The sequence below is a fragment of the Homo sapiens genome, chromosome 2, assembly GCF_000001405.40.
Source record: "Homo sapiens chromosome 2, GRCh38.p14 Primary Assembly".
NCBI lineage: Eukaryota > Metazoa > Chordata > Mammalia > Primates > Hominidae > Homo > Homo sapiens.
The window spans coordinates 128,334,658-128,355,126 of NC_000002.12; the positions used below are offsets into that span (position 1 = coordinate 128,334,658).

The 20,469-nt window shown below is 45.6% G+C and overlaps 1 annotated feature.

Moving 5' to 3' along the window:
* Nucleotides 10,633–11,133: an enhancer, noted in NCBI's record as "H3K4me1 hESC enhancer chr2:129102864-129103364 (GRCh37/hg19 assembly coordinates)". NCBI's record gives its function as "activates a minimal SCP1, AML or CMV promoter by ChIP-STARR-seq in primed H9 embryonic stem cells {active_cell/tissue: H9 hESC(primed)}" and the evidence as "EXISTENCE:reporter gene assay evidence [ECO:0000049][PMID:30033119]".

A 20,469-nucleotide genomic window follows, 5' to 3' on the forward strand; every position in this document is an offset into this window, starting at 1 on the left:
ACCCTAACCACAAGAAAGCTGGGGTGGCTATATCAATATCAGAAGAGGTAGCCTTCAAAATAAAGATATAAATGCCAAAAGGGACATTTCATAAATATAAAAGGAAAATTCATGAAACCGTAATAATCCTAAATGTGTATTCACCTAATAACAGAGCCCCAAATACATGAAGCAAAAGCTGACAGAATTAAAGGGGAAAATGACAAATCCATTATCATACTTAGTCACTTCAACACCACTCTCTGAGTAACTGATAGAATGAGCAGACAAAACCAGTAAGGTTACAGAATATTTGAATGACATCATCAAAATGACTTTGACATTTTGAACACTATATCCAACAATAGTAGAATACTTGTTCTTTTTAAGTGCACATGGAAAATTCATTGAGAAATGAAATGATATTGGGCCGGGCGCGGTGGCTCACGCCTGTAATCCCAGCACTTTGGGAGGCTGAGGCGGGCAGATAACTTGAGGTCAGGAGTTTGAGACCAGCCTGGCCAACATGGTGAAACCCTGTCTCTACTAAAAAATACAAAAATTAGCTGGGCATGGTGGCAGGTGCCTGTAGTCCCAGCTACTTGAGAGGTTGAGGCAGGAGAATAGCTTGAACATGGGAAGCAGAGGTTACAGTGAGCTGAGATTGTGCCATTGTACTCGAGCCTGGGTGACAAGAATGAAACTCCATCTCAAAAAAAAAAGGAAATGATGTTGAACAAAATGACATTATTGGAGAACCTGCTTTACGTCGTTTCACTTAAAGTCACAGTTTCCAAAAACCTATTGAAGACATTAAGTGAGCGCTTACTGTACTAAAAAGTAATGTGAAGAGTTATATCTAAAAGTTCAATAGATGACACTAAAACACACAAAAAATACTTGATCGACCCCTAAAAAATGTAAAGATGCCACAAAATAAGTTTCAATAAATTTAAGTGTTTTGATTTTTATATAGAATCTATTCTCTGACCACAATATGACTAAAATAGAAATCAATGACAAAAGGTTATCGAGAAAATTCATAAATATTTGGAAATTAAATAATACACTTCTAAATAACCTATGGGTCAATAGGAAATCATAAAATAACTTAGCAAATATTTTCACCTGAGTAATAATGAAAAGATACTATATTAAAATTTGTGGCTGGGAATGGTTGCCCCCAGCACTTTGGGAGGCAAAGGTGGGCAGATCGCTTGAGCCCAGGAGTTCAACATCAGCCTAGGCAACATGGCAAGACCCTGTCTCTACAAAAGACCAAAAATTAGTCAGGCATGGTGGCATGTGCCTATAGTCCCAGCCACTTGGGAGGTGGAGGTGGTAGGGTCACCTGAGCCTGGGATGTCGAGCTTGCAGTGAGCCAAAATTGCTCCTCTCCACTCCAGCCTGGGCAACAGAATGACACACTATCTCGGAAAAAAAAAAAAAAAAAATTCTGAGATGCAGCTACAGCAGTGTTTAGAGGAAACTTTATAGCTTTAAACACATATTAGGAAAAAAAGGTTCAAATTCACTGATTTAAACTTCTACATTAAGAAGCTAGAAAAACAAGAGTACATTAAACCCAAGGTAGAAAAGAGAGTGAAAAGTAATGAACTAGAAAACAGTAGAGAAAAACCTATTAAACCAATAGCTGCTTCTTTGAAAATATTAACAAAATGCCCTAGAAAGACTAATAAAGAAAATATAAAAAAAATTATCACTATCAGGAATTAAAGAGAGGCCACCACTGCAGATTATATAGACATTAAAGTGATAATGAGGGAATATTAAGGATGACTTCATGACAGTAAGTTCAACAACTTTGATGAAATCAACAAATTTCTTGAAAATTGCAGATTACCAAAACTTACACAAGAATAGAAAGTCTAAATAGCCCTATGTCTTATCAAAGACATTAAACTTATAATAAAAAATCTTCTTACAAAAAATCTTCAGGCTCAAATGGCTTCTCCAGAAAATTCTATCGAATATCTAAGGAAGAAATAATACCACAAAATAATCCTACAAAACTCTGGAGGAAACAGAGGAGGAGGGAATACTTCTCAATTTGTTTTATGAAGTCAGCATAATCCTGGTATGAAAACCTAACAAGAAAATTATAGACCAATATCCCTTAATAACATATTTGCAAAAATTCTTAATAAAATATTAGCCAATTGAATCCAGCAATACATAGAAAGAATAGTATATAATGACCAAGTGCGATTTACCCCAGGTGTGAAAAGTTTATTTACTACTCCAATAGAAATCGATGTAATTCATCACTATGAGGTGGTGGCTAAAGGAGACTAAAGAACTAAAGGAGAAAAACCATACCATCATCTCAATAAATACAGAAAAAGCATCTGATAAAATTCAAACACATATATGATTAAACACTTTCAACTAACTAGAAATAAACAGGAACTTCTTTGATCTGATAAAGAAGGTATCCAAAAACCTACAAAAGTGAGATTAAAAATACTTTTAAAAATAGCATTAAAACCCACCAAATACCTAGGAATGTGTCTGAAGAAAGATGCACAAGACCTCCATGTTGACCACTGCACAAACATCATTGAGAGAAATGAAATAACACCTGCGTTAATGGAGAAATATACCATGTTCATAGATTAGAGTTCTTGGATATTGAGAAGAAGTTGATTTTCTCCAAATTGCTTTGTAGATTCAACACAATCTCAAGAAAAAATGTCAGTGTCTTTTTGAAGAAAGCTGATTCTAAATTTTTAAAAGTGGACAACTTACACTAACTGCTTTTCAGACTTCCTATAAGGCTACAGTAATCAAGATGGTATCGTACTGACATAAGGATAGACAAATGGATCCATGGAACAGAGTAGAGAGTTAGGCAATAAATCTCCACAATATGGTTAATTGATTTTTGAACAAGGAATCAAATTAATTCAAAGCAGAAAAGAAAACCTTTTAAACAAATGGTGCTAAAACAAACCGGATATTTATATAAAAAATAAACTTAACCCCCACGGAAAATAATTTAAGATGAATCATTGACCTAAAATGTAAACTTAGAACCCTGAATCTTTTAGAAAAAAATATAGCAGGGTATTTGCAAATTTGGGGAATGCAAAGACACCAACCAAATTAGCACAAAAAACTTTAACTATAAATAAAAAAAATAAGAATTGGACATCATCAGGATGAACATTTCTACTCATCAAAAGATACAATTAAGAAAATGAACAAGCAAGCCACAGATGAGGAAATATTCACAGTGATAAAGAATCCATATTCATAATATGTAAAGAATTACTAAAAATAATAAAAAGGCAGACAGCCCAGTTAAAATGGTAATAAGACTCATAGACACTTTACAATGCAAGATATGTAAATGGCCAATAAGCACATGAAAAGATATTCAACATTGTTGAAAAGCAAAGTGAAAATCATGATGAATTCCCGTTATACAAATATTAGAATGACTAAAATTAAAATAACTGACAATATCATATATCGGTGAGAGTGTGGAGGAACTGGAACTCATACTTTGTTGGTGGGCATGTAAAATGGGACGGTAACTTTGGAGGACTCTCTGACAGTTCCTTATAAAGCTAAAACATACACCTACCCGTGACCCAGCAATTTGACTTCTAGGTATTTACCCAGGAGTCCTTAAAAATATCTGTACATGAATGTGCATTGCAGCTTTATTCAAATAATCATATGCTAAAAACATCTTAGATCCATCCATAGGTGAATGAATTACACAATTTTTGATACAGTCAAACAATGGCCTACTTAGCAATAAAACAGAATCACTTATTGATACATACAGCTATATGGCTGAAGCACAAAATTATTTTGCTGTGTGAAAGAAACCAGACACAAAAGAGTTCAAACAGAATGTTTCCATTTATATACATTTTTAGGACAAGCAAAACTAATCTCTGGTGATAGAAATCAGAACAGTGGTTGATTCTGTGGGGTATCAACAGCAAAAGAGCATGAGGGAAATTTCGGGGTGATAGACATATTCTAGATCTTGATTTGGCTGTTTGCAACTGTCACAATTCATTGAACTGAGCAGTAAAGATCTGCGTATTTTGTTGTATGTAAATTGTACATCAATTTATACATACAAATGAAAAAGAACAGTATTATGGAGGGAAATTTATATCTAGATATTTATTTTTATTGCTGTTATAAATATAATACTTTTTTCTATTACCTTTTCTCACTTGTCCAAGCAATTTTATAGTCAAAGTCTGTCAAACTTTTAATAAATAATTCCCTTCAAATTTCCTTGATGTCAAAACTTGATAAAGTCAGACACAAAACTGTAGACCAAGTTCATTTTTGAAAATAAATGTAAAAACACAAAATAGTAGAAAATTAAATTGGATAACACTACACCATGACAAACCAGGATTTATTCCAGGAATAGCAGGAGGAAAAGCATGTGATTATCTGAAAATATGCAAGAAAAGCTTTGGAAAAGGCTGTGACAGGCTCGCCGGACACGTTGAGGCTGAACGTCACACTGCGTGGGAACGTCAGCACCTCAGGGAAGAGCCTCTCTGTGCCCCTGACCTCCCCGTGCACTGCAGAGCAGGGCCATTGCGTCCTAGATGCTCACGAGGCACTGATGGGGTAGAGGAATGAAGTCAACAATCAGTCTCATTGGGGCCACCAGACACATGTGACCTCTGCAGCCTGTCCTCCCACAAACTCCTCTACACAGCCACATGGTCCCTTGGACCTTTCTTTTTAAAAACTCTCCTAGTGGCCGGGGGTGGTTGCTCACACCTGTAATCCCAGCGCTCTGGGAGGCTGAGGTGGTTGGATCTCCTGAGGTCAGGAGTTTGAGACCAGCCTGGCCAACATGGTGAAACACCGTCTATACTGAAAATACAAAAAAATTAGATGGGCGTGGTGGTGGGCACCTGTAATTCCAGCTACTCAGGAGGCTGAGGCAGGAGAATCGCTTGAACCCGGTGTGGGGGCGGAGTTTGCAGTGAGCTGAGATCATGCTACTGCACTCCAGCCTGGGCAATAAGAGTGAAACTCCATCTTAAAAAAATAATAACAATAAAAAAAAATAAAAACTCTCCTAGCAGCAGCCAACAATGCTTGAGCTCTTGCTCTGGGCCAGGTCCTGCTGCCAAGGTTTTGTGTGGTTCAGCTCATGAAATCCACAGAGGTGCCTGCCCAGGGTGCTGTCCCTCTCCTGACCACTGGCTGTTGGGAAGTGGGGGCAATGTTTCTAGGGTGATGGATGTTGTGGTCACACACTTGGCTGCTTCCTTTTCATTGGCTGGAGGCGTTTGGTGGCAACACCACTCTGCTAGGCAAGAACTCCTGGGAGCACCCTGCTTGGAGGAACACTGGGAAAGCCTCTAAGTACTTCATATGGAGACACGGGAGGGAAGGGAGAGGAGAGGGGAATGTGCATTGACTACCCCAGCCTGGGCGGCTGCGCTGGACTGTCCTAGGCGCATTTGCTGATATTGTCCTCACAGCAGCTCACTAAAGTGGCACTTCTGTTTCCTGTTTCCAGTTTCCTGTTTCCACCAGTCCCATGTACGGCTGGTGACTGGAGTGTTGTTGCAAGGTGTTTTTCTGGGACTATCTGGTCTGTGGTGGCTTTGTGCGAGGATTTGGGCTGCAGACGGTTGAAGACCTTAGTATGAGGGGAGCCAAGGAGTCACAGAGCAGTGGTGATGGTGATGATGTTGTGGTGGTGATGGTGATGATGGTGGTGGTGGTGATGGTGATGATGGTGGTGGTGGTGGTGGTGGTGGAAGTGGCGGTGATGGTGATGATGGTGATGATAGTGGTCATGGTGGTGGAAATGATGATGGTGCTGGTGCTGGTGGTGGGGATAGTGGTAGTGGTAGTGGTGGTAGTGGTGGTGGTGGTGGAAATGATGGTGATGGTGGTGGTGGTGGTGGTGTTGGTGGTGGTGGTGGTGGTGGTGGTGGTGGTGGTGGTGGTGGTGGTGGTGGTGGTGGTGGTGGTGGTGGTGGTGGTGGTGGTGGTGGTGGTGGTGGTGGTGGTGGTGGTGGTGGTGGTGGTGGTGGTGGTGGTGGTGGTGGTGGTGGTGGTGGTGGTGGTGGTGGTGGTGGTGGTGGTGGTGGTGGTGGTGGTGGTGGTGGTGGTGGTGGTGGTGGTGGTGGTGGTGGTGGTGGTGGTGGTGGTGGTGGTGGTGGTGGTGGTGGTGGTGGTGGTGGTGGTGGTGGTGGTGGTGGTGGTGGTGGTGGTGGTGGTGGTGGTGGTGGTGGTGGTGGTGGTGGTGGTGGTGGTGGTGGTGGTGGTGGTGGTGGTGGTGGTGGTGGTGGTGGTGGTGGTGGTGGTGGTGGTGGTGGTGGTGGTGGTGGTGGTGGTGGTGGTGGTGGTGGTGGTGGTGGTGGTGGTGGTGGTGGTGGTGGTGGTGGTGGTGGTGGTGGTGGTGGTGGTGGTGGTGGTGGTGGTGGTGGTGGTGGTGGTGGTGGTGGTGGTGGTGGTGGTGGTGGTGGTGGTGGTGGTGGTGGTGGTGGTGGTGGTGGTGGTGGTGGTGGTGGTGGTGGTGGTGGTGGTGGTGGTGGTGATGGTGATGATAGTGGCCATGGTGGTGGAAATGATGGTGGTGCTGGTGCTGGTGGTGGGGATAGTGGTAGTGGTAGTGGTGGTAGTGGTGGTGGTGGTGGAAATAATGATGATAGTGCTGGTGATGGTGGTATTGGTAGTGGTGGTGATGGTGATGATGGTGGTGGTGGTGGTGATGGCGGTAGTGGTGGTAGTTTGCTATAAGCAGGGACATATGTAGTTGGCTCTTCGTCCTTCACCTCTTCCCTTCCCACTTTTGCAGTTACATGATATCTGAAGAGGTAGCAGTCATTGAAATCTTGAGGTAGCAAGGACAATCATAAAAAATGATTTACTAAAGGAGGCCAAGTGCAGTGATGGCAGCCTGGGCCCTAGATGCCACAGATGAATGGTTGAGCCAATGCCAACAGAAGCCCACCTCTAAACTGGTAGGTTTTTGAAAAAAATAATCTCTGCTTGTTTCAGGCACTGTTGGTCAGTAGGTTTTCTGTTATTTGCAGTCAAACATGATACTGATAGAGGCATCCTCTTGGGGTGTGAGCAATGCCTGATATCATCGCACATAGCCATGGATGTTTGCTGAGCTCCTCCTGCTCCTCTCTTTTTACACAACAATCTGTTCTTCAATGTTTTGCATTTCTTTACTTACGTATTCCATAGTTTTAGACACTTCATAGTACTTATCAGATAATCTCATTATGTGAAGTATTTGAAGGCCTAATTCTCTATTTGTTGTTTCTTTTGACTCCTCTCCTTATGGTTCACTTCCTCAACAGCTTTCTAATTTTGACGAGGGAGCTCATCTGCACTGGGGCTTTATCTGTAGGACTTCCTTGTGGCCTGGATTGAGAGGATGACTGTTACTTCTGCCGGTGTCCAGGGGGTGTTACCAACCCAGGGATATTTCTCATGTTAATTTATTTGTTTTGCGGTACCTAGGCCATGAGGTACAATACGTTTGAACCCCAAACCCTGAACTCTAAACGATGTGGACATTGTTTGCAGAGTTTACAAATTCTCAGGAATCATTTTTCCTTTTTTTCAGCACTCAAGCTAAAACGGACAAGCTTCCTTCTTCTCTCTCTTTGTTAGGGTGCAATCTGCTCTTTTACCAAATATGGAGCTTCTTGTGGATGTCACCTTCTGCAGGGATCTCAGACACAGCTCTCCATCCTGATCTGGCTTATGAGACTTCTTCTCCTATATTTGTACGGCTATAAACCCAAGCCCCAGGGTACATAAATGGACTCCCATCTTCTTTCCACCTCCGGATATCTGAAATGCTTACACCTATTTAGTCTACTGGTTTCCATGTTTCTTTCTGTTTTTGGCCCCTGATACCCTCATTTCTTTTTGAACTCAGTTTTGCACTTAAGAAGGCATTTATTATATCTTGTCTAGCACCTATCAGAATCACAAGTCAGGCAGATTCGGCACAAAGAGGTAGCTTTAAGGATGTTCTTTGCATCACTAGTCACTAATGATAACAGCCCTGCACCCCTCCCCCGAGGGCAAGAACCTGAATATCCCCTGGGAGACAGTGAAGGGTTAGCGCCTGAGGGCTGGGCCAGGCCTGATTTTGTCATCAGTTTATCACTAGCACTAGCTCAGTGCATGGCATGTAGTAAATTCTCAGTAATTTTGTGGTTTGATTTTGAACCAGGAATTAGTAATTTAATTGCTACACATTCATATGTGCCTTACTAAGCTGCATTAAAATTATTTTGTAGGAAAACATTTAATAAAGTAGGAAAATGTTCTTGACATATTTTTAGTTAAAAGAAAAAATAATAAGAAAGGCAAACGCAGGTTGCCTGACAGCTATGTGCAGTACAAGTTCTACTTGGAAAAATAAAATGGTGCAAGAAAAATGGATGAGAAGAATACATACAAAAATATTAAAAGAGGTTAACTCTGACGTGGGATTACAGAACATTTTTGTTATTTTCTTTATATTTTTATATGTTTTCTGATTTTTCATGGACAACATGCATGACTTTTATAATAGAATTTGTTTTAAAGAAGGCAGATAGGGCAATTGCCATCAAAGAGAGAGTGTTGCAACCAAGTCACCTCCAGAGCTGACTGCTCCTCAGAAGACCTGGCCTCACCTTTGCCCTCCGCTTTTATTGGGGCATTGGGGCTTATGCAGGAAACATTTTAAAAAAGAACAACAGCAAGAACAACATTCATAATAATAGTTACATAGAAGAAGAACAGCATTAATGATAACAGTTAACACATACAAGGTATACTATGTGTCAGGCACATATGTAATCATTTATATGTATTTATTCAGTTAATCCTCATGATATATTACCCTATTTTATAGATGAGAAGAGTGATGCAAATACATATTATAGTATATGTATAGAAAGTATACTGTTCTCAAATATGTTATTGTATCAGTTAGGATAGGCTAGAATTTGCTGCTGTAACAAGCATCCTCAAATCTCTGCAACTAGAAGCAACATATTTCTCCCTTATACCACATGCTCATTGTAGATCAGCTGGGGGCTGATCCTCCTGACTAAGGGAAAACCCAGGCTCTATCTCTTTGTCTCTGACTTTGTGAACACAAGACAAAAGAGACTACAAGACTATTGTGAACTGGCTCTTACGATTTTCTCCAGGAAGTGGCATAAGTCACTTCTGCTAACTGGCAAAAGTGAGTCACATGACCAAGCCTACTCCAAGAGGCCCAAGGCATGGCCTCCTACCACATGTCGGCAAAGGAGACCCAGACTATTTGGAAAACAGCACAAATGACTACCATAGATATCTAAATTGACCCTCATAAAATCTTATCCTATTTTAGATTAGAATGGTTGGTTAGTGGACTCTCCAGAGATCTAGCCAGAAAAGAGGGTGGAGTGTGGCACCAGTGCCTGGGTTCCAAGGCCTTAGAATAGCTGTAGAATTCTACACTGTTCTAATGTAGGAGTCATCATGAGACGGGCCCCTAACATCTTGTTCCTTCATTCCTTTCACTGTATTTTATTCATTCCAAGAAAAAGGTTCTTATTGGTCTTATCACAGGGGCAACACTTCCCCAAGTGAAGGAGCAGTGATGTTTCACAGCCCAGAGGGGATGAAAGGGCTTAGCGATGTGATAAGCCAAACCATGGTTCAGCTCCATTCTCTAGCTGTGTGACCTGGGCAAACACCCAACACTCAGAGCTTCACTTTCCTTATCTGTAAAATGGGCCAAGGTACCCACCTCCACTTCTAAGGGTTCTTATGAGGATAAAATTAGAGCAGATTACTGACGGGAGTGGTCACTCACCAGTATGTTTCTTTTCTTTGTGCACTAACCCAAGTTATTTGACAATGTAACCCTCAGTTTTGTCATTTATGTAATGGAGATATTTTTATTTTTGTTTTTCGTTTTTTTTTTTTTTTTTTTAAGACCCAGTCTCCTTTATTGCCCAGGCTGGAGTGCACTGGTGCAATCTTGGCTCACTGCAACCTCCACCTCCTGGGTTCAAGTGATTCTCCTGTCTCAGCCTCCCCAGTAGCTCGGATTACAGGCGTGCGCCACGCTGCCTGGCTAAGTTTTGTATTTTTAGTAAAGACGGGGTTTCGCCATGTTGGCCAGGATGGTCTCGAACTCCTGACCTCAAGTGATCCAGCCACCTCAGGCTCCCAAAGTCCTGGGATTACAGGTGTGAGCCACCGTGCCCAGCCTTATAATGGAGTTCTTAATGGTGGCTACGCTTCTCTCAGGCAGTTGTATGAACTGATGTAGGTGTGAACGTTTTTAAAAGCTAAAAGCACTTTAGAAAATGCAAATTAAAGGCCTGGCATGGTAGCTCAGGCCAGTAATCCCAGCACTTTGGGAGGCTGAGGCGAGCGGATCATGAGGTCAAGAGATGGAGACCATCCTGGCAAACATGGTGAAACCCCATCTCTGCTAAAAATATAAAAATTGGGTGGGATGGCATGCGCCTATAGTCCCAGCTACTTGGGAGGCTGAGACAGGAGAATCACTTGAACCCTGGAAGGGGAGGTTGCAGTGAGCCCAGATTGCACCACTGCACTCCATGCACTCCAGCCTGGTAACAGAGTGAGATTCCATCTCAAAAAAAAAAAAAAAAAAAAAAAAAGAAGAAGAACATGCGAATTAAAAAGTGTTCATGATAAATGTAAGTACGCTGAACTTTTAGAAGGTGTATCTTAATCAATGGACTACTGTTTTTAAAACAGGAGTCACATTTGGCTGGTATTTTCACCTCAAGTACAAAATCCAGGCTGGGGGCCATCCCTCACGCAGTGAAGGTGAGGGGCTCTTCTACCTGACCGGGAGGCGCTCGTTGTTCACGCTGCGGTGGGCAGCGCTGGCTTTCAGGATCACTATCCAGCAGCAGCTCCGACTTCCAGATTCCGCGGCTGAGCGGCGAGTCCCCGCGAAGGGTGCACAGGAAGGTGCCACCGGCCCAGGACGCTCTGTCACCGGAGTGCAGGAGGGAAGGGAAAGGCGGAGGGCCAGTGGGGAGGGGTGGGTGGTGTGGCCGGTGGCTCTGCCTTACTCTTCTCTTCCTGGAAGGGAACCTGTGGGGCGGAGAGAGTCCCCAACCCCGGCCCTGAGGCCGCTCTGGGGGTCCTGCAGGCAGCGAGGTGGCCTCTCTTTACCCAGGGACGCGCGCGGGGATCATCGTCTCCCGGGGGCGAGCATATAAGACGGACCCTGCCCCAGACCCCTTGCCTTCCTCCACAGGGGGATGGGAGCTAGGGCTGGGGGCGCTGAGAGGAGGGGGTCTGCACGCTGGCTTGGTGGTCCCCTCTGGCGGGGACAGTGAAGGCTTGGGGGCCTTCGAGACAGGTGCCCACGTTGCCCAAACCACGTGTTGGTGCCACGTGGCAGTGAAGGTTTTAAAATGGGGGTTGGGGTTGTGAGGCTGGGCCGGCGGGGTGAGATGGGGCTTGGGCATCTGCACTTGCCCGGGCGTGCGGGGGCTCCTAAGGAGGAGGCTGAACCGGTTGTTGGGGTGGCCTAGGGGGAGGAAGGCGCCCAGGCCCAGGAACAGCCTGGGAGGCCCCAGGGGCAGGGGCAGGTGGGCTGGAAGGAAGTCGTCCGTTGTGGTGGAGACAGGAAAGGGCTGGAAAGGTGAGGACCCGTTCCCGCCCCGTCCCTTCTTCTCCGCGGCCTGCAGACCCTGGGCCAGGTGGGAATCAGCCTGCTCGCGGCGCTCGGAAGGCGGGCTCCTCCGTGAGAAGCCGGCCCCTGAGGTGCCAGGAGGACCGCGCCGCCTGCTTGGCATCCATCCATTTGTTCTAATGAGAGAAGGAATGAACGGGTTGACTCTGCAGGGCTGCGCCAAGGCCTGCGTCTGCGGGGCAGCGGTGCGGTGTGGGGTCTGTGCGCTGAGCCCCGCCAGGGTTTCTTCTAGATGAAGCCCGCAGGCCTTCTCTCCTGCGCACGTGTCCCACGGCAACCGGGAGTGCGAGGTCCTCACGGCTCAGCCCTGTCCCTCCGTTCCTGGAGAGCGCATCGCCCCATGGGCAGAGCGGGCAGACAGAGGGTAGAAGTAGGCTTGCCCCTGGGGTGGGTCAGGGAGGTCTCTCTGAAGAGCTGAGCTGTCTGTCAAGCAAGCCTAGAATGATGAGGACCAGCAGCAGAGAGCAGCCTTGGAAACACCCCCGCCTCACCCCGGGCCGGGGAGCGGCTGGAGCAAAGATCCTGGGGCGCAGATAAGTGTGGGCTGCCCATGTGGAGCCCCCTGAGCAGAGGGAAGCAGCGGCGGGCGGGGGGCGGGTGCCAGGGCTCGGATCCGGGAAGAGGGCCTTCTGGGCGATGGCGAGTGGTTTGGCTTTATCCCAAGCCTGAGAGGAAGCCGCCGCGCGGGGCTAGGCAGAGGGAGAACTCCTGTACTGTACTCTCTTGTTTTTCCCCTCTGGAAACTAGGTGGGGTGGGGAGGACAGCCATGTGGTTCGTCCTCCAGGCAGGAGCGGGCCTGGTGGGTGAGGGCAGACGTGGTGAGTGAGGAGGGCAAGCCTCGTGGTTGCTGCGGCTCAGTGAGGCCTCCTGGAGGGTGAGGCTCCTGTGAACTGGGCACACACAGGCGGCCACCACGGTGCCTCAGCTGGGCTGTCACCTCTCACCCTGGGCCTCTCCACCTGCCCCAAGCCAGGCGCTGTGTGGGACGGTGGGCCACAAGCCCTGCCTATGGTCAGCCCATGGGGGAAAATCATGCACTTTTAGGACCATCAGCTAGGCCAGAGAGGAAGCCAGAAAAGAAGGCACAGACTCCAGCCACTGCGGCCCACTCCCTGGCGTCGCCGTCACCGAGCTGCTGCCTCTCTGCTTCGTATTTTCAGTGACTCCTCGCCATAACCTTGTGTTACACATAAAGCGACTAAAGTTAAAGGACTAACAGAATTTTCTAGAGACCCAGCTAACAAATGACAAAGCAGGGTTGGCCAAGCAGGGGTTGGAATCCACAGAAGAATCACATGCCTGTTCCCAACACCCCTTGAGGCGTGGAGCCCCAGAGGCAGGCCTGCTGCACAGCCAGGCATCTCCCACAAGCACCAGGGGGTCTGTTCCACATATGCACATGTACCCAAATGTGCACACACATGTGCACACACACGCCCGCTCACCCCGACCCTCCTGTACGCACCCATTCACGTGCACACCCACAGTTCCCCTACGTCTGTCTGATCCTGCGTCACAAGGCTGTGTTTTCTGAGCACACCTCTGCACTCCCAGCTACCACCTCAGCCACAGATGTTTGCCAGGAAGCTGGACGTGCTCTTCCCTGCAGTCTTCTTTCTCTGCTCCTCGTTGCTTGGCTTGGCTGCCACAGGGAGAGAGGATTTGCAGTGCAGAGGTAAAGAGGTTTTTCCTAATTTGCTCCATGTCCAAACCATTGTCTGCAGATGCAGCCTCACGGCCACCACATTTTTCACAGACGGTGGCTTGCCAAGAAAAAGAGCCTCCTCTGCCAGCCACCAAGGGGGAGGAGAAATTCCAGGGAAGCTGCACGGCCCAGTGGGCCTGGCTTCCGCAGGCCTCCTGTGAGGGCTCCTGCCAGGGCAGCTTTAGGAAGGCAGGGACTGGGAGGCAGGGCTGGCCTCCTGCCCAGGATGGGCACAGCCCCCTCTTCATGCTCCTGGGTTCTCCCGGTCCTGGCCCAGCTGGGTAGATGTGCTCCCTCAGGCCGTCTACGCCTTGTTCTTTCTTTTCTTTTTTTCTTAAAACAATTGTTTTGGTTTTGTGAGCAGGCAGGCTGTTCACATGGCTCCAAAGCTGAAAGCTGCCAGAAGCTCCCAGGGAAGGGTTTCTCCTGCCCTGAACCTCCAGCAGGCCTTCCTCCCTGCTAGGGCCAATATCACACAGCTTTTGCAGGTCCTTTTAGAGCTATTTTCTGCACATTCAAGCAAATATGTGCATACATTTCTCTTTCCCTCCAATTTTGTAGAAAAGATGACACATGTCACATGCTTGTTTCATGTTGCCTTTTTCACTCGATGGTGTGACAGTGGGGCCCACTCTAGACCAGGATATAAGGAGTTTCCTTAGGAATTTGAGACGCATAGTTCACAGTGTGGAGAAGTCATAATTTATCTAACCTGTAATGCATCCAGTTGTTCAAAACTCCTTTGGGCAGCACCCACTGCGTGCCCAGCTCTGTGCCCAGGTCCTGAGGGCTGCTGTTGGTTGTAACGTTTCATGGAAAGAACAGGGCTTGCTGCTGTACAGCAGCTCAGATGACGCTGGGCCAAAGACCCCACGTTTGTGTGGGTGAGGTCCAGCTGGACACAGGCAAAATGGGAACTGACAGCAGCTTAGATCACTCTTGCAGGAGTGACTGTTGCAGTTATGCTGAGGGGGAGTTATAGGATGTTTATAGTTTTAACACATCACATTGTTTCCCTTTTATTTTTAAAGTTTTTGTGGGTACAGAGTAAGTATTTATGGGTTACATGAGATATTTTGATGCAGGCATGCATTGCATAATAATTATATCAGGGTAAATGGGGTATCCATCACCTCAAGTATTTATTATTTCTTTGTGTTGCAAACAATCCAATTACACTCTTTTAGTTATTTTGAAATGTACGACAAATTATTGTTGACTGTAGTCACTCTATTATGCCATCAAATACTAGATATTATTCATTCTTTCTAACCATATTTTTGTACCCTTTAACCATTCTCACTCCTCCTCCACGACCCTTCCCAGCCTCTGGTAACCATCCTTCTACTCTCTAGCTCCATGAGTTCATTGTTTTAATTTTTAACTCCCACAAATGAGTGAGAACATGTGAAGTTTGTCTTTCTGTGCCTGGCTTATTTCACTCAACACACCAATCTCCAGTTCCATCCATGCTGCTGTGTAAAGCTCTTCCTCTTGACCCCTCTGCCCCTATGGGATTGGGACTATCTCTGCTCTCCTCCTCCATGCCGGTGTCTATGTGGTATGCTGAGTTCAGGTGAACATCACGTGGCCTGCGCAATCCACATGGTGATAGGCTTCCCAACCCACCATGTTCTGATGATCAATCCCTCTACCCATCCCTCTTCAACAAAGTTGCCAGGGGCTGGGCGTGGTGGCTCACACCTGTAATTCCAGCACTTTGGGAGGCCGAAGTGGGTGGATCACCTGAGGTCAGGAGTTCGAGACCAGCCTGGCCAACATGGTGAAACCCTGTCTCTAATTAAAATACAAAAATTAGCTGAGTTTGGTGGTGGGCACTTGTAATCCCAGCTACTCGAAAGGCTGAGGCAGGAGAATCACTTGAACCTGGGAGGTGGAGGCTGCAGTGAGCTGAGACGACACCATTGCACTCCAGCCTAAGCAACAAGAGCAAAACTCCATCTCAAAAACAAAAACAAAACAAAATAAAACAAAATCAAAGTCACCAGGACTTCTGGGGACCACTTCACTACCTCCTGTCTCCCCTAGCAGCCCTCCTGTAGCTCAATTCTAGGGCTCTCCCTGTTTTCCAAAGCAGAGGAAAGGGAGGACACCAAGATTTCATAAACAGCCACTTTGTATGCCACAGTAGAGGGAAAATGTGGGCTGGGCCATCAGTCAAGGCCAGTGGTAAATTGGTGTTCAGAAATCACGTCATAAAGTCCAACACAATTGTTGAAAATGGAAAGCAAATTTGAAAACTAATTTCTTGGTGGCCAAAGCAGATCAGCTGAAAACACTCAGACCTGTGAATATGTGCACTTTTGATTTATGACAAAGCTGGCCAAGCAGTAGGAAAGGAAAGGCTTTTTAATAAATGGTGCTGGGATTATTGAGTATCTAAATAGAAGAAAGCAAAACAAAATTCTTGACCCCTACCTCACACCATCCACAAAAAAAGCAACTCCAGGTAGATTTAGATTTAAATGAGAAAGGCAAAACAATGTAGCTTTAGAAGATAATATAGGAGTATCAGTGAGGGCTCAACCAGAGAAGCAGGGCCAGTCAGTGATCCTCTGTGTGTGTGTTTACATGGAATTGGCTCATACAATTGTGGGCGCAGGCTAAGGACATCTGAAGTTTGATGGGCAGGCTGTCAGGGGCTGTTTGGAGTGTGGCTCAGGGAATGCCTAAACCCTTTTAACAAAGCCTTTCAATTAACTGAGTCAGGCCCATCCAGGATAATCTCTCCCCACTTTTTTTTAGATTAATCAAGTGCAGTAGTGAGAAGTGGAGGATGAGTGGAACAAGGAGTTCGATCTGTAACTGACTGTGAGCAATAATCTCCCTTTTGATTATCTTAATGTCAACTGACTTGGGACTTTAATCACATTGCAAAATCTCTTTGCAGCAGCATGAAGGCCAGGGCTCAAGTGAGTAACTGGAGAAAGTGTGTGCATGCTTGAAAGGCCACTGCTTCCCTGTTGTCCTCCTGCTCTCAGTAGAGAATACCCCTGGTTGCCCATCCCATCCCTGTACCCTCCCTAACTGAATGCACACTAGAAAGGGCATTCCAGGGAAATATAGCTCAGCCTAGGCAAGGTCACACATCAGAAAGCCACCCAAATAGGAAAATAGCTTTATGACTTTGCTTCTTAAGCAAGATATAAAAAGCACAGTCCATAAAGAAAAAGACTGATAATTTAGGCTATGCTAAAATTAAGAAAGTTTGTTTATCAAAGAGACCATTAAGAATGTACAAAAAGCAATCTAGGAGTGGGAGAAAGTATTTGCAGCACATATAACTGACAAGAGACTCATATCTAGAATATAGAAAGAACTCTTACAAATCAATGAGAAAAACTAAAAAAAAAAAAAAAACAAACCAGAAAATTATGAAAGAGACTTGAACAGGTACTGTGTGAAAGAGTTAATGGCCAGTAAACACATGAAAAAGTGTTCAACCTCATTTAGTCAGAGAAATACAAATTAAAACCATAGTGAGTTTCCTGTGGTAGTGTTAAAATATGTCCACAAATTCTTTAGTACTCTTCATTTCAAGAGGTGGAACTTAATTCCCCTCCCCTTGAGTGTGGCTGGACTTGAGTGATTCACCTTAATAAATAGGATATGGCAAAAGTAATGGTGTATCACTTGCAACACTAAGTCGTGAGACAATGTGGCCTCTCTCTCTCTTTCTCTCTCTTCCCCACACCCCTCTCTCTCACAGCACTTGCTGATGCCATGAGGCATGACTCTCATGAGGACAGTCAAGCAGACCTGCTAAGAGGTGCATACAGCGAGAAACTGAGGCCTCTTGCCATCAGATCATGTGAGTGAGCCCTCTTGGAAGCAAATCCTATAGCCCCAGTTGAGCCTTCAGATGACAGCAGCCCTGGATAACATCTTGATGGAACCTTGTGAGAGACCAGAACCACCCAGACAAGCCACTCCTGGCTTTCTGACCCACACAAACCTTGAAATAATAAGTGTATATTGTTTTAGGCTACTACATTTTGAGGATAATTTGTTATGCAACACTAGATAACTAACACACTACCTTTACTCACCAGAATGGCTAATATTAAGAAGATTGATAGTAACAAGTGTTGATGAGAATGTGGAGCTACTGGAACTCTCACGGACTGCTGCTGGAAATGTAAATTGAAACAACCATTTTGGAAAACAATTTGGTATTATTTCTATTACTTTCTAAATAATTGAAGGTATGCATTTCCAATGACCCATCCCTGATGACCCAGCAATTACACTTATGGGAATATACCCAACGGAAAGGTGTATGTGTAAATGTGCGTATCAGGATACATATATAGAACATTCCTAACAGCATTATTTATAATAGCCCCAAGCAAAAAATGGACCAAAATTTCATTCACAGTTCATTCATACAATGGAATACTGTAAGCTATGAAAATTAAGGAATTATGACTATACACAATACCAGGAATAGGTCTCAGAAGCCTAATTTGAGTGAAAGCAGTCTGACACAGAAAAGTCCATGTTATATAATTCTATTTAAATGAAGTTACCCTTGGTGAGGTGGAGGGGCCTCAGGGAGTTGGCCTCCCACCTCACCAAATAAGACTCCATGTCTTATTCTTTACCTGGCTAGTGGTTACATGGCTGTTCACTACATGGTCTGCACATTTTTGTTTTGTACCTTTTTGTGCAAATGTACACTTTTAAAATGAATTACAAAACCACACAACCCAACAGCATAACACCAAAAACCACAGTCCCATGAGTCTGTCTTAACAGCCCTCAGAGTGGGCTCAGCAGATCATCCTGGTGTGAGTTCAGTGAGTGCTGTTTTATCAGGGCCAAACCATGCAGTTGGCCTGTGGTTCTCTAGGGGGCTTGACCTTCAGGAGTCCATGGAATGTGTATTTCTTGGGTAATTCTCCATGAAAAATATTGCTTTAATTAAAACTGGAGAACAGAGAGTTTGAGGTAACGTTCTCTGGTGATAGCCTGACGTCCTGTTCCTCAGCTCGGCTGATTCAAGGTCAATTGCTATTGTTTGAGTGTTTGTCCCCTCTAAAACTCATGTTGAGGCTGGGTGTGGTGGCTCATGCCTGTAATCCCAGCACCTTGGGAGGCTGAGGCAGGCAGATCACTTGAGGCCAGGAGTTTGAGACCAGCCTGGCCAACATGGTGAAACCCTGTCTCTACAAAAATACAAAAATTTGCTTGGCATGATGGCAGGTGCCTGTAATCCCAGCTACTTGGGAGGCTGAGGCAGGAGAATCGCTTGAACCTGGGAGGTGGAATCTACAGTGAGCCGAGATTGTGTCACTGTACTCCAACCTGGACGACAGAGTGAGACTCTGTCTCAAAACAAACAAACAAACAAAAAACAAAAAAAAACTCATGTTGAAACTTTGATCCCCAATGTGGCAGTATTGAGAGGTGGAGTCTTTAAGAGGTGATTGGGTCAGGAGGGTTCTGCCCTCAGGAATGGATTAACCCATTCGTGGATTAATGGGCTAATGGATTAATAGTTATCATGAGAGTGGGACTGGTGGCTTTACAAGAAGAGGAAGGGAGGCCTGAGTTAGCACCTCCGTCCCCTCACCATGCAATGCCCTGTGTTGCCTCAGAATGCTGTAGAGTCCCCACCAGCAAGAAGGCTCTCACCATGTGCTCCCTTGGCCTTGGAGTTTCCAGCCTCCATAACTGTAGGAAATATATTTCTTTTCTTTATAAGTTACCTAGTTTCAGATATTCTGTTATAGACAACAGAAAACAAATTAAGACACCAATCTGCCCACTTGAGAGAAGGAATGGTGTGATGGTAGAGCTGACACCCTTGAAAGAAGGCCAGGGAGTCTCAGCCTGATTCTTACCTGAACATGTAACAACATCCTGCCCTGGACTGGGGCTGCCTGCGATGTGTCTGCCAATGGGGCCATGAGTGCCTGGATTGTGTGCTCCCCCACTGTGGATGAGGGGATCCGAAAGCTGGCCACCACGCGATGTGGGTGGTGGGGATTTAGGCTGGATATTTCCAAAGCTGGAGTTACCAATTGCCCCAAGGCCCAAGAAACATCTCAACATACAGTTCTCATCATGTCTTTAATTTCAAACGGTGTAATTGGGTCTCTTCAGGATACTGCTGTGGAGTGACCGAGGTGACTGTATGGGGTCATGGCTCCAGTCACTTCCCACATCCTTCTGCTCATGGAAGCAGCCTCAGCTGTTCTGGCCCAGCGGACACCACTGATTTTACCACAAGGTCACCTGATCCCAGGCAGCCTGGCTCCCGGCTGCCCAGTGACCCATGGAGCAGGTGATGGTGGTTCCTGAACTGCTCTGATGTGATCCCTCTGTCATTCCTGATCCTTCAGGGCCAGAGAGGCAGCAGCCCCCACCCACAGCAAGACCCCGAAAATTTGGGCAAGAGCTTGGGGCTGTGTTCTCTCTCAGAAGCTGGGGGTACTCTGGTTCTGCACACAGCTGTCCCCAGTCTGTCCCATATTTCCTGGGTATATACCACAGAGTGGAATTGCTTGGCCAAATTGTCACTTTATGGTTAGTTTTTTGAGGGACTGCTAGACTGTTTTCCAAAGTGGCTGCACCATTTTACGTTCCCACCAGCAGTGTATGAAGGTTCCAGTTTCTCCACATCTGCACCAACACTCGTGAATTTTTATCTGTTTGATTAGTCATAGCTGGGCCTCATCTCCACCCATGCTCTAAGAGAAAGCCTGCCTGGGAGGAGAAGAAGTCAGCCAGCAGGGGAGGGTGTCCCACCAAGTATCAGGAGCTTTGGTTTGCAAGAAACAGCACATCTACCTCAAATTGGTTTGAACAGTAAGGATCATTTTTATAAGTAGAGATATTCACATACCATAAAAATCACCACTTAAAAGTGTACAATTCCGTGGTGTTTTTTTTTTTAGCTTATTCATAGAGTTGTGCAACAATCATCATTAATTCCAGAACATTTCATCCCCCCCAGATAGGAACCCTACTCCCATTCCTTTCTGCCCCCAGCTTCTGGCAACCATGAACCTATGATATGGTTTGGATGTTTGT